This window comes from Homo sapiens, chromosome 17 (genome assembly GCF_000001405.40).
Source record: "Homo sapiens chromosome 17, GRCh38.p14 Primary Assembly".
Taxonomy (NCBI): domain Eukaryota; kingdom Metazoa; phylum Chordata; class Mammalia; order Primates; family Hominidae; genus Homo; species Homo sapiens.
In genome coordinates, this window is record NC_000017.11 from 63549366 (window position 1) to 63562422 (window position 13057).

At 43.2% G+C, this 13057-nt stretch overlaps 1 protein-coding gene across 2 annotated transcripts in view, besides 5 other annotated features; it reads left to right on the plus strand.

Moving 5' to 3' along the window:
• Positions 42–1026: an enhancer, noted in NCBI's record as "H3K27ac hESC enhancer chr17:61626768-61627752 (GRCh37/hg19 assembly coordinates)". NCBI's record gives its function as "activates a minimal SCP1, AML or CMV promoter by ChIP-STARR-seq in primed H9 embryonic stem cells {active_cell/tissue: H9 hESC(primed)}" and the evidence as "EXISTENCE:reporter gene assay evidence [ECO:0000049][PMID:30033119]".
• Positions 326–715: an enhancer, noted in NCBI's record as "active region_12548". NCBI's record gives its function as "activates an Ori minimal core promoter by ATAC-STARR-seq in GM12878 lymphoblastoid cells {active_cell/tissue: GM12878}" and the evidence as "EXISTENCE:reporter gene assay evidence [ECO:0000049][PMID:35858748]".
• DCAF7 (DDB1 and CUL4 associated factor 7) overlaps positions 1112–13057 on the plus strand; it is a 43790-nt gene continuing 31844 nt past the window's right edge. For both annotated transcript variants that reach the window (NR_073585.2, NM_005828.5), the window contains exon 1: positions 1112–1450. Coding sequence is in view for 1 of the 2 variants with exons in the window: in NM_005828.5 (NP_005819.3) it covers positions 1313–1450 (138 nt within the window). In the remaining variant the exon portion in view is untranslated. The remainder of the gene's footprint in view (positions 1451–13057) is intronic.
• Positions 1156–1235: an enhancer, noted in NCBI's record as "active region_12549". NCBI's record gives its function as "activates an Ori minimal core promoter by ATAC-STARR-seq in GM12878 lymphoblastoid cells {active_cell/tissue: GM12878}" and the evidence as "EXISTENCE:reporter gene assay evidence [ECO:0000049][PMID:35858748]".
• Positions 1386–1435: a silencer, noted in NCBI's record as "silent region_8819". NCBI's record gives its function as "represses an Ori minimal core promoter by ATAC-STARR-seq in GM12878 lymphoblastoid cells {active_cell/tissue: GM12878}" and the evidence as "EXISTENCE:reporter gene assay evidence [ECO:0000049][PMID:35858748]".
• Positions 1456–1605: a silencer, noted in NCBI's record as "silent region_8820". NCBI's record gives its function as "represses an Ori minimal core promoter by ATAC-STARR-seq in GM12878 lymphoblastoid cells {active_cell/tissue: GM12878}" and the evidence as "EXISTENCE:reporter gene assay evidence [ECO:0000049][PMID:35858748]".

Below are 13057 nucleotides of genomic sequence, written 5' to 3' on the forward strand. Positions count from 1 at the left end.
AAATAATAATTTAAAAATAGCTAGGTGTGGTGGCAAATGTCTGTGGTTCCAGCTACTCCAGAGGCTAAAGTGGGGGAATCGTTTGAACCTAGGCAGTCCAGGCTACAGTGAGCCCTTATCACACCAGTGCACTCCAGCCTGGGTGACAGGGCAAGACCCTGTCTTTAAAAAAAAAAAAAAAAAGTATTTAATGTTATCATCCAACAATTCAATACAAACCTCCTTCAATTTTGATGAAAGCTGAGAATTGGAAATAATTTATATAAAGGTGTCATTTGGTCTCTGGCCCTTCCCCTTTTCCAACTCACAGGCACAGATACCTTTGGGGCTGGATTAGCATTTGCGTTGGGATCCACGGCGGGAAGGGTACAGGATGGGAACTGACAAAAACAGAGCCAAGCTGGTCGGGTCGGTGCCTACCCCAGAATTCGGGGACATTTCTAGATCCTGCAGGAAAGCGCGGGAGGGCCTGACTCAAGCTGGCCTGGCCCTGAGCGCATCTGCGCGCCCGAAGCCTGTCCCTGAGGCACGGAGAGAGCAGCTTTCGGGTTAAAAGGGCCCTGGGAAGAGATGGGGCGGGAAGGTGGTACCCGTTGGGCGCAGGCCAGGCTGCCAGGCCGCAGGGCTCTGTCCCGCGAAAGTCAGTAGGTCTTCCACTAAGGCAGAATTGTACTTTTACTCGACAGCGTGGAGAGGCCGCTCAGAACAGCAGCAGCGGAGGGGAAGTCAGCGCAGGTCACAGACGGTTTCACTCTCAGAGACTTGGCCTAGAACTTGGAGGCCCGCTGCTACAGCACGCTCGCCTCCAGGCCACCCACGCCCCCACCACCCGCACTGAGCCGTTATCTGCCTGACTGACATCTTGGCCAACCAATGACCTTTGGGGCTGCCAAAGCGCCTGCCTCCGAGAGTTGGGCGGGGCGAGTAGTTGCAATGACAAACATTTAACCCAATAGCGAGGAGATTTCAGACGCTACGGCCGCAATAACCAATGACAAGAAAGAATCCTTTCGAAAGGACGTGTCAGGCAACCAACGGCCGGTGCCGCTGCGGGGGTCCGGCGGCTTCCGTTCCGAGAGGGCGGGGCGGCGTCCCAAAACGGAAGGTGGTTGTCGTCCGTTCCCAAGCTGGTTTGAAACTAGGGGTCGGGCTCGGCCGTCGTCGTTGTTTGTCGCCGCATCCCCGCTTCCGGGTTAGGCCGTTCCTGCCCGCCCCCTCCTCTCCTCCCTTCGGACCCATAGATCTCAGGCTCGGCTCCCCGCCCGCCGCAGCCCACTGTTGACCCGGCCCGTACTGCGGCCCCGTGGCCACCATGTCCCTGCACGGCAAACGGAAGGAGATCTACAAGTATGAAGCGCCCTGGACAGTCTACGCGATGAACTGGAGTGTGCGGCCCGATAAGCGCTTTCGCTTGGCGCTGGGCAGCTTCGTGGAGGAGTACAACAACAAGGTGGGCCGGGCAGGGGCTCGGAACCCAGCTGGCGGGGAGCGGGCCCCGGGAGCGCCCTTTCCGGGCCGGAGCCCAGGCCTCAGAACCCTCTTGCGGACTCGCCCTAGGGCCACGGAGCGGTTCCTCTGTCTGGCCCTGTGCTGAAGGTTTCGTACTCGTTGTCTGTCTCCTTTAATCCAGGCAGCATTCTTGTGTAGTCGGCAGTGTAGTGGGGAAACTGAGGCACGGTTTTGTGACTTGCCTGGGTCAGGCAGCTATTTCGGGGTGGAAACAGGTCTTAAAACCGGGTTTACGCCCCAAAGATACTCCATTTATTCATCCCGTGCTCTCCACTCCTGCCGCATTGCTTTCGTTGGTGGGCGGGGAAGGGAAGAGAGAGTGATAGCTGTGAAGGAAAATGCAGGCGCTTCTATTGGTGGTCGTGCACTCCTGGCCACACTAGATTTCTATTAAGACGATCTATTGTACAAGCTTCCCCGCCCCCTACTCCCACCCCCCCCGGGTACTCATGGATCCTAGCCCTTCTGCCAGAATTACTGTTGCTCTTGCTTCCTGATATCCATTCTCTCTAAAGCAATCTCTTTGGAAATCTTGGCCTGTGGCATGATCCCGCCGTTGTTTCCTGAACACAGAAGGATGACAGGGCCTTATCTCTTGGCTTGTTTCGTGCTAGTACAGTTGTGTGACCTTTAGTAGTAAGTCTTGCTGGACATACATCAATTTGAGAATCCTTTATAGAAGCACGGTGTAGTAGGGGAGCTTTTAAACTGGCATTGCAACAAACTCATTTTTGAAAGTTGAATAAGTCAGTTGGAAGAATTTTCTTTCTTCCTTTTACTCAAAGTTGTGAATGATAGCGATCAGAGCAACTGAAAGCTGTGGCTAGTGATATTTAAAGCCACTACTCCTGCTTTATGCCATGAACATCAGATTTAAGAAGAGTAAAACTGGCCGGGCGCGGTGGCTCACGCCTGTAATCCCAGGACTTTGGGAGGCCGAGGCGGGCGGATTACCTGAGCTCAGGAGTTCGCGACCAGCCTGGGTAACACGGTGAAACCCCGTCTCTACTAAAATACAAAAAAAAAAAAAAAAAAAAAAAAAAAAAAAAAAAAAAAAGCCGGGCGTAGCTTAGTGCGCCTGTAGTCCCAGCTACTCGGAAGTCTGAGGCTGGAGAATTGCTTGAACCTGGGAGGCGGAGGTTGCAGTGAGCCGAGATGGCGCCACTGCACTCCAGCCTGGGCGACAGAGTGAGACTCTGTCTCAGAAAAAAAAAGAAGAATAAAACTGTTCAGTGACAAGGCTGATGCAGGGGGGAAGAAACCAGGTGGTCCTGTCTGGTTATTGACTAGCTGTGAGATGTTGCACAGGCCTGTTTTATTATCTGTGACCCACAGTTTGTACGGAAGGGGTTCTGGTTTACATGTGAGGGTCTTGTAAAAAAGAAATTTGAACATTTCACAGTTTGTTTACAGTTTTTCAGGAGCACATTTGTTTCTCTAGAGTAGGTCCTCTTTGGAGTCCACTTTGAGAAGCTGATGAAAGCTATGGATTCTCATTGTCCAGACATTACACATACATGAACAATTTACAAACAAATCCAAGGAATATGCACTGATCTTTAAGTCCACCCATTGCCCGGGCGAGATAGAGCTTTCTTTCCTCTGTTGCTTCTTTCTTCCTTATGGCCCATAGTGGACAGCAGAACTGGAAATGGGATTCACGATTCTGATGTGGACACCGTGTTAATAAAATTAAGACCACTAGAACTATTGTTTAAAGATACACGTGGAAAATAAAAAAGTATGTCTTTCAAAGGGCTTAAGTCTTTTTACACAAATTAATGTTTTTTCTTGTAAGTTTTTCCAGGGTCGTTGGGTAAGCAATAGTTACTCCTATTCCTCAGAGAGGAGAAACTGAGCCACAGTTAGGCTGCTTGGTAGGATCAGTGGAGTAGTCAAACTGCTGTTGCAGGAACTCTACCCCAGTTTGTCCTTTCATTTAGCAACTATCTGGAGCTTCCTCTTTGTGACAGGCACACAGGTAGCATGGCTTAGCAGTGAAATGCAAACTAATAACCCCACTATCAACAGCATTAGCAGTTAACTATATCTTAACTCACATGATGTAGGCAATGCGCTGTCTTAAAATCATTTTTGTGCCTCCACCTATCAGTAGATCAGGGTTCTTAAATTCTGTGTGCCATGGTCATCTGATACCAATAGACCCCTTCTCATAGTTATGTTTTCAAATGCATAAAACACATAGAATTACAAAAGAAACCACTTATGTTGCACTACAGATATAAACAACATGTTTTTTAAAGTGGTGATGTAGTCATATGTACTTTTAATAAATTAACTTATTGATTTACACCATCCACTGTAATTATTAATGTAATTTTGAAATGGTGACAAGGGTAAACAGCATTTCAAGATGCTTAACAACTGTGCTGTGGTGGGAAAAAAAAATTCTCTTGCTGGCAAAGTCACAGACAGTCATACCACTGTGAGCACCTGACCCCATTTGTAATTGAAGGAAACAAAAAAATTTAGCTAGAGGTTAATGGAAATATGGGGATAATTTTCCAATTCAAGTTCACAGACCCCAAGTTAAGAAACCCTGCGAGAGAGAAGTATGTGTAGTGGTTGGTGAGCAGCAAATCCTGCCTTAAAGTGATTCTCAGGCTAAGTTTGTGAGAAACCCTGCCAAAGAGGTGGTCGACTTCATAATTTGGAGGAACTTTAGAATTATTGGTTGGAATTTTTAGACCATTGGTTCCTGCTTGCCATGGATAGTGGTCACCAGCAGAGGATAAAGTAAAATGGACACAGCAAATTAACACTGATGAAAAAGGCTAGAAGTGGTCATCTTTTTAGTGTGGAGACATTCACTAAGAAAACATGGTTGTAATTTTTAAAAATTTGCATTAGCATAATCATGTTTTCCTAACGTAAAATTGTACCTAGTTGATCCATAGAATTAAGTCTATCAACAGTTTAAGAAATTGACTTCCAGGTGTTCCTTCATGTGAATAAATTTGGGAATTGTTGCAGAGTAAAGAAACAGATTCTATCAACTACACTTGGAATAAAAAGCCCCATTATAGGGCTGGGCGTGGTGGCTCACACCTGTAATCTTAGCACTTTGGGAGGCTGAGATGGGAGAATCGCTTGAGCCCGGGAGTTTGATACCAACCTGGGCAACATGGAGAAACCCTGACTCTACAAAAACATTAAAAAATTAGCCAGGTATGGTGGCATCTGCCTGTAGTACCAGCTACTTGGGAAGCTGAGGTAGGAGGATGCTTTAAGCTCAGGAGGCAGAGGTTATAGTGAGCCAAGATCACGCCACTGCACTCCAGCCTGGGCGACAGAGCCAGACCCTGTCTCAAAAAACAGCCTCATTATTGGTTATTATGTTTCTACCTTCTTTTGTTGTGGTCTCTTGAGGGATACAGCAAGATTGGTGTTGGAGCAACAGGTTCTCTAAATTTTAGTGTGTGAGAATCCTGAGGGAGCTGCACATTCCTGGGCTCCACCCCTGAAGTTAACAGACTTGGAGATAGGTGACAGACACACTAGTGGTTGAGTGGTCCAGATGGCACTCTCAGAACATGGCCCTGGAGCTGCCTTGGCATCTGTTGGCCAGAGGCGAGAATGTGATCTTTTTGTGTCTGCATGCTCCTAAACATTGGTTCTGCCCTTCCATCCAAGTTCACCCATGAAAAAAGCTCTGTGATTAGCCTGGGTTATCTAAGTCCTGCCACTTCCCAGTTTTGTATTGCCTTGGGCAAGTTATCCTCTGTGTCTCAGTTTCATCATCTGTAAAATTAGGGCAATAAATAATAACATCTACCTTGTTCAAAGATTAAATGAGTTAATATATGTAATGGACTTAGGAACGCCACCCGGTGTGGAATAAGCCATATAGAGATGTTAGCTGTTATTTAATTATTATCATTACTGTACCTGTAATTGAAATATAACCAAAGAGAATTATATGGCTGTTTAGTAAATTTACTTTTGTATTTTCCAGAAAGGATTCAGGAATAAGAGGTCAGAAAGGTAGCTGAAAAGGTCATTATTTCATTCTCTGCCTTTTAAAGACTCTGGGGGGAAAATTCCCTTATCTCTTTCAACCCAACTCATTTTGTAGTCTAGCAGATTCTTATAGTCAGACTCCAAGTAGTGTAATTTTCTAGTTTAAATCCATTTTCTCTTGTTCTACCTGGCTTACCTACGTAAGTCAGATATAAGAATTTGGCATTTCTCCTGTGTTTTGACAATATGTTTGGTCTTTAGGCCCAGGTGTTATTTCCCCTCTTTTATTGGGAAAAGCTGGGTAGCAGTTCCTGGGCTTCTGTTCCACTTAAGTGCATGTTTCAGGGTTGGTTTTGATAAAGATGGCAGTGTGATTGGGATTTAGTTTGCCCCAGTATTTAACTGACTACTTGTGCTCTAAGATTTGGCATCCAGAGAGTATTTTTGAGGTTCTGAGGAGAGACTGTAGGTATATCTGATGCTTTTTGGAGAATCCTAGTAGTGAGTCTGGGTGGCATGACCACCTTGTACTTGAAACACTGGGATGGGTACTCACCTCACCAGCCTGTGTTGATTCCTCTGAGGTTTTTAATACAATTACTTTATATGTTTGATGCATAATTATTTCGACTCCGGTATTTAATTTTTCATCTTGGTATTTGCGGTAGCCCTTCAGGATTATCATTCATTTGCTCATTAATTTAGCCGGTCTGTATTGAACACATACTCATGTGTTTTAGGCACAATGTGTTTTGGTACACATCAGTACTTTTGATAGATATTTAGAATGTCGCAGTGTTCCACGAGTCCCTGTCAAGACTGTCAGCAGGGGAATTTAAGACATAAAACTCTTCTGGTTTTAACTTCCTCCTTTTTCTAGACAGTGAGAGGACTCATTCCCTGTTGTGACCACTGGATAAAAGTGATAATGCTTTAAAAAAAAATGCTACTTTATTGCTTTTTGTCCTAATCTTGTTCACATAGACTTATTGGAGATGCTGTCACTTGAACAAGGAGTGAATCTATGCTCTGTAGGTAGCCTGGCTTGCCTAAGGACTTGCTGCCAAAGCTCTCGCTGCCAGAGCTCTCTGGTCAGCCTCTGAGCCACGAGCCAAAGGTGTGCTGTGCCAGAATTCATCTTAAAGTTTAATAGGGCAGGACCTTGGGTACCTGCAGACACTGGTCCTTGGTAATCAGTCAGGAAGAGGCTTGAAGAGAAAGCAAATAGAAAAGACCAGGAAAAGCTAGTGTATATTCTCAGAATATTGTGTTAGCCGATTTTTGTTTTATTAACAATTGTGGGAAAATGTTCCAGTGACTGGAGTGTTATGTTGATTTGGATAACTTGGGAGCTTATTTTAAAAATTACATATACATACACACATTCACCTTCTTCTTCTGCACTAGGACTGTGTGTGTTAAAGTGGAATATGGCCAGGCGCAGTGGCTCATGCCTGTAATCCCTGCACTTTGGGAGGTGGATGCAGGCAGATCACCTGAGGTCGGGAGTTCAAGACCAGCCTGACCAACATGGAGAAACCCTGTCTCTACTAAAAATACAAAATTAGCCAGACATGGTGGCACATGCCTGTAATCCTAGCTACTTGGGAGGCTGAGGCAGGAGAATAGTTTGAACCTGGGAGGCAGAAGTTGCAGTGAACGGAGATTGTGCCACTGCACTCCAGCCTAGGCAACAGAGCAAGACTGTTTCAAAAAGAAAAAATAAATCAGGGCCGGGCGCAGTGGCTCATGCCTGTAATCCCAGCACTTTGGGAGGCTGAGGCTGGCGGATCACGAGGTCAGGAGTTTGAGACCAGCCTGACCAACATGGTGAAACCCCGGCTCTACTAAAAATATAAAAATTAGCCAGATGTGGTGGTGCGTGCCTGTAATCCAAGCTACTTGGGAGGCTGAGGCAGGAGAATCACTTGAACCTGGGAGGCGGAGGTGTGGTGAGCCAAGATTGTGCCACTGCACCAGCCTGGGTGACAGAGTGAAACTCCATCTCAAAAGAAAAAACAAATTAGCTGGGAGTGGTAGCATGCACCTGTAGTCCCAGCTACTCAGGAGGCTGAGATGGAAGGATCACTTGAGCCCAGGAGGTCAAGGCTGCAGTGAGCCAAGATCTTGCCACTGAACTCCCGCTGGGGTGACAGAGCGAGACCGCCATCTCAAAACCAAAAAAACAAAACAAATGGAATCAGCACAATAGCTGTAGAAAGATGCTATTAGAAAGGATGGGGGGAAATGGAAAATAAGTGGCAGATAAAGTACCCATACTAAAAAGATGTCTTTAGCTTGGTTGAAAAATAATTGTCAGTCCTACCACTGTGAGTTCAAAGAACTTAAGAAAATACAGAACTTCAAGCAGAGATATAGAGGATTGGGTAAAATAAGGCATGGCAAAGAGAAAATATAACATCAGCTGGCAGAGCACACAGGAAAGTAGTGGAAGAGAAAACTAAAATTATCACAGGATTAAAAGCCACATTGGAAACAGAATAAAGGCTGGGCACAGTGGTTCACTCCTGTAATCCCAGCTACTTGGGACACTGAGGCAGGAGACTTACTTGAACCTGGGAAGAGGAGGTTGCAGTGAGCCGAGATCATGTCACTGTACTCCAGCCTGGGTGATGAAGTGAGACTGTCAAAAAAAAAAAGAAAGAAAGAAACAGAATAAAGATGAACACACAGTGCTGAAAACAGTAAAGGTTAGGGAGGACAGATTGAAAAATGAAACTGAAGAAAACAATGAGAACATAATAGATGCAGAAAGTAAAAGAGATCTGACGTAAGTATAATTGGTGTCCCTCAAGAAGAGGACCAAAGAAATGAAACAAACTCAAATATATGGTTAAAGAAGAACTTAGAAGTAAAGATTTGAAGTGATAAGTTCAAATTGGCATGATTTGAACTTGCCAAAGATTTGAAGTGATAAGTTCAAATTGGCATGAAGTGATAAGAAAAATTGGCACTGAACAGTTGGCACTGAAACATTTCCTAGGAAAATTTCTTTTTTAAAAAATTTATCTTATTTTTCGTGTGTTTTGTTTTGTTTTGAGACAGTGTCTCACTCTGTTGCCCAGGCTGGGTGCAGAGGCATGATCCCAGCTCACTGCACTCTTGACCTCCTAGGCTTAATCGATTGTCCCACCTCTGCCTCCCGAGTAGCTGAGACTACAGGTGCACACCACCACGCCCGCTAATTTTTGTATTTCTTGTAGAGGCAGGGTTTTGCCATGTTGCCCAGGCTGGTCTCAAACTGTGGGCTCAAGTGATCCACTAACCTCAGTCTCCCAAAGTGCTGGGACTACAGGCCTGGCACAGAGCCTGGCATCCCTAGGAACATTTCTATGTTTTAAGGATGAAGAAAGAATTATTTGGACACCCAGACAAAATGATCAAGTCCTCTTTAAGAGGGGAAAAGAAATTAGGCTAGCTACATTTGATGACAGAAGGCCATGGAGCAATGTCTAGGAATGTACAAATACTGTAGATTGTGCTGCTATAAATACTTGGGGATATACTTAGGCATATGTAAGGTTTATGTGGAAATAATAATGCTGGGGAACACAAAACAATACTCGAAAAATGGGAAGGTATTCTCTTTTCTTGTATAGTAAAGCTTGGTATCCTAAAGATGTCAGTGTCCCTAAACTTAATGTAATCCCTGTTTAAAATACCACAGTTGTTTTTTCTGGAGACAGGGTCTCGCTCTGTCGCCCAGGCTAGAGTGCAGTAGTGTGAGTATAACTCACTGTAACCTCAAACTCCTGGGCTTAATCAGTAGGTGTCTCACTATGTTGCTCAGACTGGTCTTGAGCTCCTGACCTCAAACAGTCCTCCTGCCTGCCCAACCCAAAGTGCTGGGGTTACAGGCATAGGCCACCATACCTGGCCAAAAATACTCCAGATTTTTAATAATGGTTTTTTAGAACCAGGCAAACTGATTGTTTCTACAGATAAATTTTACAAACATGCACACATTGTCAAAAAACTTCTGAAAAGGTGGACTAATGATGGATATTAAAACATAATGCAAAGATATAATAAATAAGATCGTTTGATACTCTAAGAACTGATGTATAAACAGAGTCTAGAAATGAACTCAGAATACAAAAAGAAATGTAGTCTGTGCTAAAGGTGATAGGAAATGAAGAAAAAATATTTTTAAGGCCAGGCACAGTGGCTCACGCCTGTAATTCCAGCACTTTGGGAGGCGGGGGCAGGCAGATCACGAGGTCAGGAGTTCGAGACCAGCCTGGCCAACATAGTGAAAGCCCGTCTCTACTAAAAATACGAAAAATTAGCCAGGCATGGTGGTGGGCACCTGTAATCCTCGCTACTTGGGAGGCTGAGGCAGGAGAATCACTTGAACCCAGGAGGTGGAGGTTGCAGTGAGCCAAGATTGCATCATTGCACTCCAGCCCGGGTGACAGTGTGAGACCCATATATATATATATATGTATATATATATACATACATATATATACGTATATATATGTATGTATATATATATGTGTATATATATGTATATATATATGTATATATATGTATATATATACGTATATATATATGTGTGTGTATATATATATATATATATTTTTAATAATTGGTATTGAAACCAGAAAAAAAAATTGGATCTCTACCTTAAGCTTTGTACCAGCCGGGTGCAGTGGCTCACACCTGTAATCCCAGCACTTTGGGAGGCTGAGGCGGGTGGATCGCCTAAGGTCAGGAGTTTGAGACCAGTCTGGTCAGCATGGTGAAACCCTGTCTCTACTAAAAATGCAAAAAGTAGCCGGGCATGGTGGCAGGTGCCTGTAATCCCAGCTACTCGGGAAGCTGAGGCAGGAGAATCGCTTGAACCCAGGAGGCAGAGATTGCAGTGAGCCGAGATGGCACCATTGCACTCCAGCCTGGGCAACAGAGTGGGACTCCGTCTCAAAGAAAAAAAAACCTTGTACCAGAATTCCAGATAAATGGAAGAATGTAAACATATAACTGTAAAACACGGGAGAATCTTGGTGTGAGAAAGCCATGAAAGTAGAAGTAAACTATATAAAAATAAAATCTCTGTAACAAAACCAAAGTCAAAAGATAAGTGACAAACTGAAAAAATACATGTAATGTCCTAGACAAAGAACAAATCCCTTAATAACTGCATATAAAGATCTGCAAATCACCAGGAGACCAGTCACCCAGTAGAAAAAGAGAAATAGATAGGAAGAGTTTCCAGAAAGGATATGTAAATGATTCTTGAACGTATGAAGAACTGAACCTCATAAGAAAAAAAAAAAATGGAGTTTCAGCTAGATTAGGAAAAATAAAAAACCGTGGTAATCTACTGTGTGTGTGTGTATACACGTATGTGTAGCTTTCCCATGCAGTTGCTATCAAAATTTAAATTGGCATTATTTTCCACCTGGTAGTTCCGCTAGTGGTAATTCATCCTACAGCTATACTCATGTGGTTGAAATGACTAAAGTGCAAGGATATTCATTTTAGCATTATTTGTAAAAGAAAAATATGAAAATATTATTATTAGGGAAATTGTTGAATAAATTATGCTACCTCCATGCAGCTGTTAAAAGAATGAGCTAGCTTTTCATATACTGATATGGAATATTTTAAAATAAATATTCGGTGGAAAAATATGTAGAAGAGTAAACACCTGTGTTTTTTAAAAGCATATGCATATACATATGTACACCCATATGTGGTTGTGTGTAGAAGGGATACACAAGAAATTGATAACATTGATTTTTCCAGGGAAAGGGACTGGGATGTAGGGGCTCTAATTTGTACTGTAATTGCTTTGCTTTTATGCCTTTCAAAATTTGGGCCTTGTGTATGTATTACCTAGTAAGAAAGTTAGTAATAAAAAAGCTAACATTAATAAAAATTAAATCTTAGTAGAACTTCAGAAAGAGGAATAAACAGAAAGGAATGAATGAAGAAGCACTAGGCATATAGTAGCAAGAAGCAGTTCTTTTTATAGAGAAGAAGTCAGGCATGATAATATTAACATCAGATAAAATTCAAGGCAAAAATGTTGAAACAAAAGGAAATATTTTACATGTTAAACATACAGGCTGGGCGTGATGGCTCACACCTGTAATCCCCACTACAGGCTGGGTGCAGTGGCTCATGCCTGTAATCCCAGCACTTTGGGAGGCTGAGGCAGTCAGATCACTTGAGGTCAGGAGTTCAAGACCAGCCTGGCCAACATGGTGAAACCTTGTCTCAAAATACAAAAATTAGTTGGGTGTAGTGGTGTGTGCCTGTAATCCCAGCTACTTAGGAGGCTGAGGCAGGAGAATGACTTGAACCCGGGAGGCGGAGGTTGCAGTGAGCTGAGATCACGCCACTGCACTCCAGCCTGGGCAATAGAGCAAGACTCTATCTCAAAAAATAAAAAAGAAAAGTACAACCGACTAAGAATAAAAAGTCATAAGTCTTTACATATCTAAGAGTATAGCGTTTAAATAGAAAGCAAAAATTTTGTAAATATAGGGAGAATTTGGTTCATATGTTGGAAATTGTTAAGTGAAGTAGACAAAACAAGGATATAGAGGGTTAGAAAATTACAGTTTGTTCACACCTGTAATCCCAGCGCTTTGGGAGGCTGAGGCTGGCAGATCATTGGGCCCAGGAGTTTGAGATCAGCCTGGGCAACATGGTGAAACTCCATCTCTATCAAAATATAAAAAATAGCCAGATGTGGTGGCACCATGCCTGTGGTTTCAGCTACTTGGGAGGGTGAGGTGGGAGGATCGCTTGAGCCCAGAAGGCAGTGGCTTGCAGTGAGCCTAGATCGAGCCACTGTACTTCAGTCTGGGTGACAGAGTGAGACCCCATCTCGAAAGAAGAAAATGTGTTATAAGTATAGAGAGCTTTGCATTCAACGGAAAATTCACTTTAAACAATAACCCAATTTACAAAAACTGTGTATTTAGAAAAAAAATTTTTTTAAGTTGAAATCAACTGATTGGAAAAAAAATGCTACATATCAAAACTTACAGGAAGGTGAGGAACCTGAAGCTCAGCTATGTGCTAAGTGGCTTGCCCAAAGTCATATAAGGGGTAAAGGAGGGCCAGAACTAGAGTGCTGTCTGTCTCCAGAGTGTTCAGAATAAATGTATGTCAATGTCCAAAAAAAAAAAAAAAAAACTTAGGGGGAAAAAGAACATGTTGAAAAACAGAGGAACACTTACCCTACCAGATTAGAATAAACATACTGGAATTGATATAGCCAGAGAGATAGGTGGAACTGAATAGAATATTTCAAAGACAACTTTAGTATATATAAATGTGAAATATGTGATAAGATAGAACTGTAATTCACTGGGTAAAAGATTACATCGTATGGCACAGTTGTTCATCTAGCAGAAAAATTTAGAACCCCTAATTCACAGTGTATGATGAAAACTAATTCCAGATCAAACGTCTAATTATAAAGGAAAGTCCACAAACATTATTAGAAAGTTGATCAGGAAATTTGTCATGAGGCAGTGGGGGTGCGCACGGACACTCATTAATTAATTCCAGAGTCAACAAAGGAAAA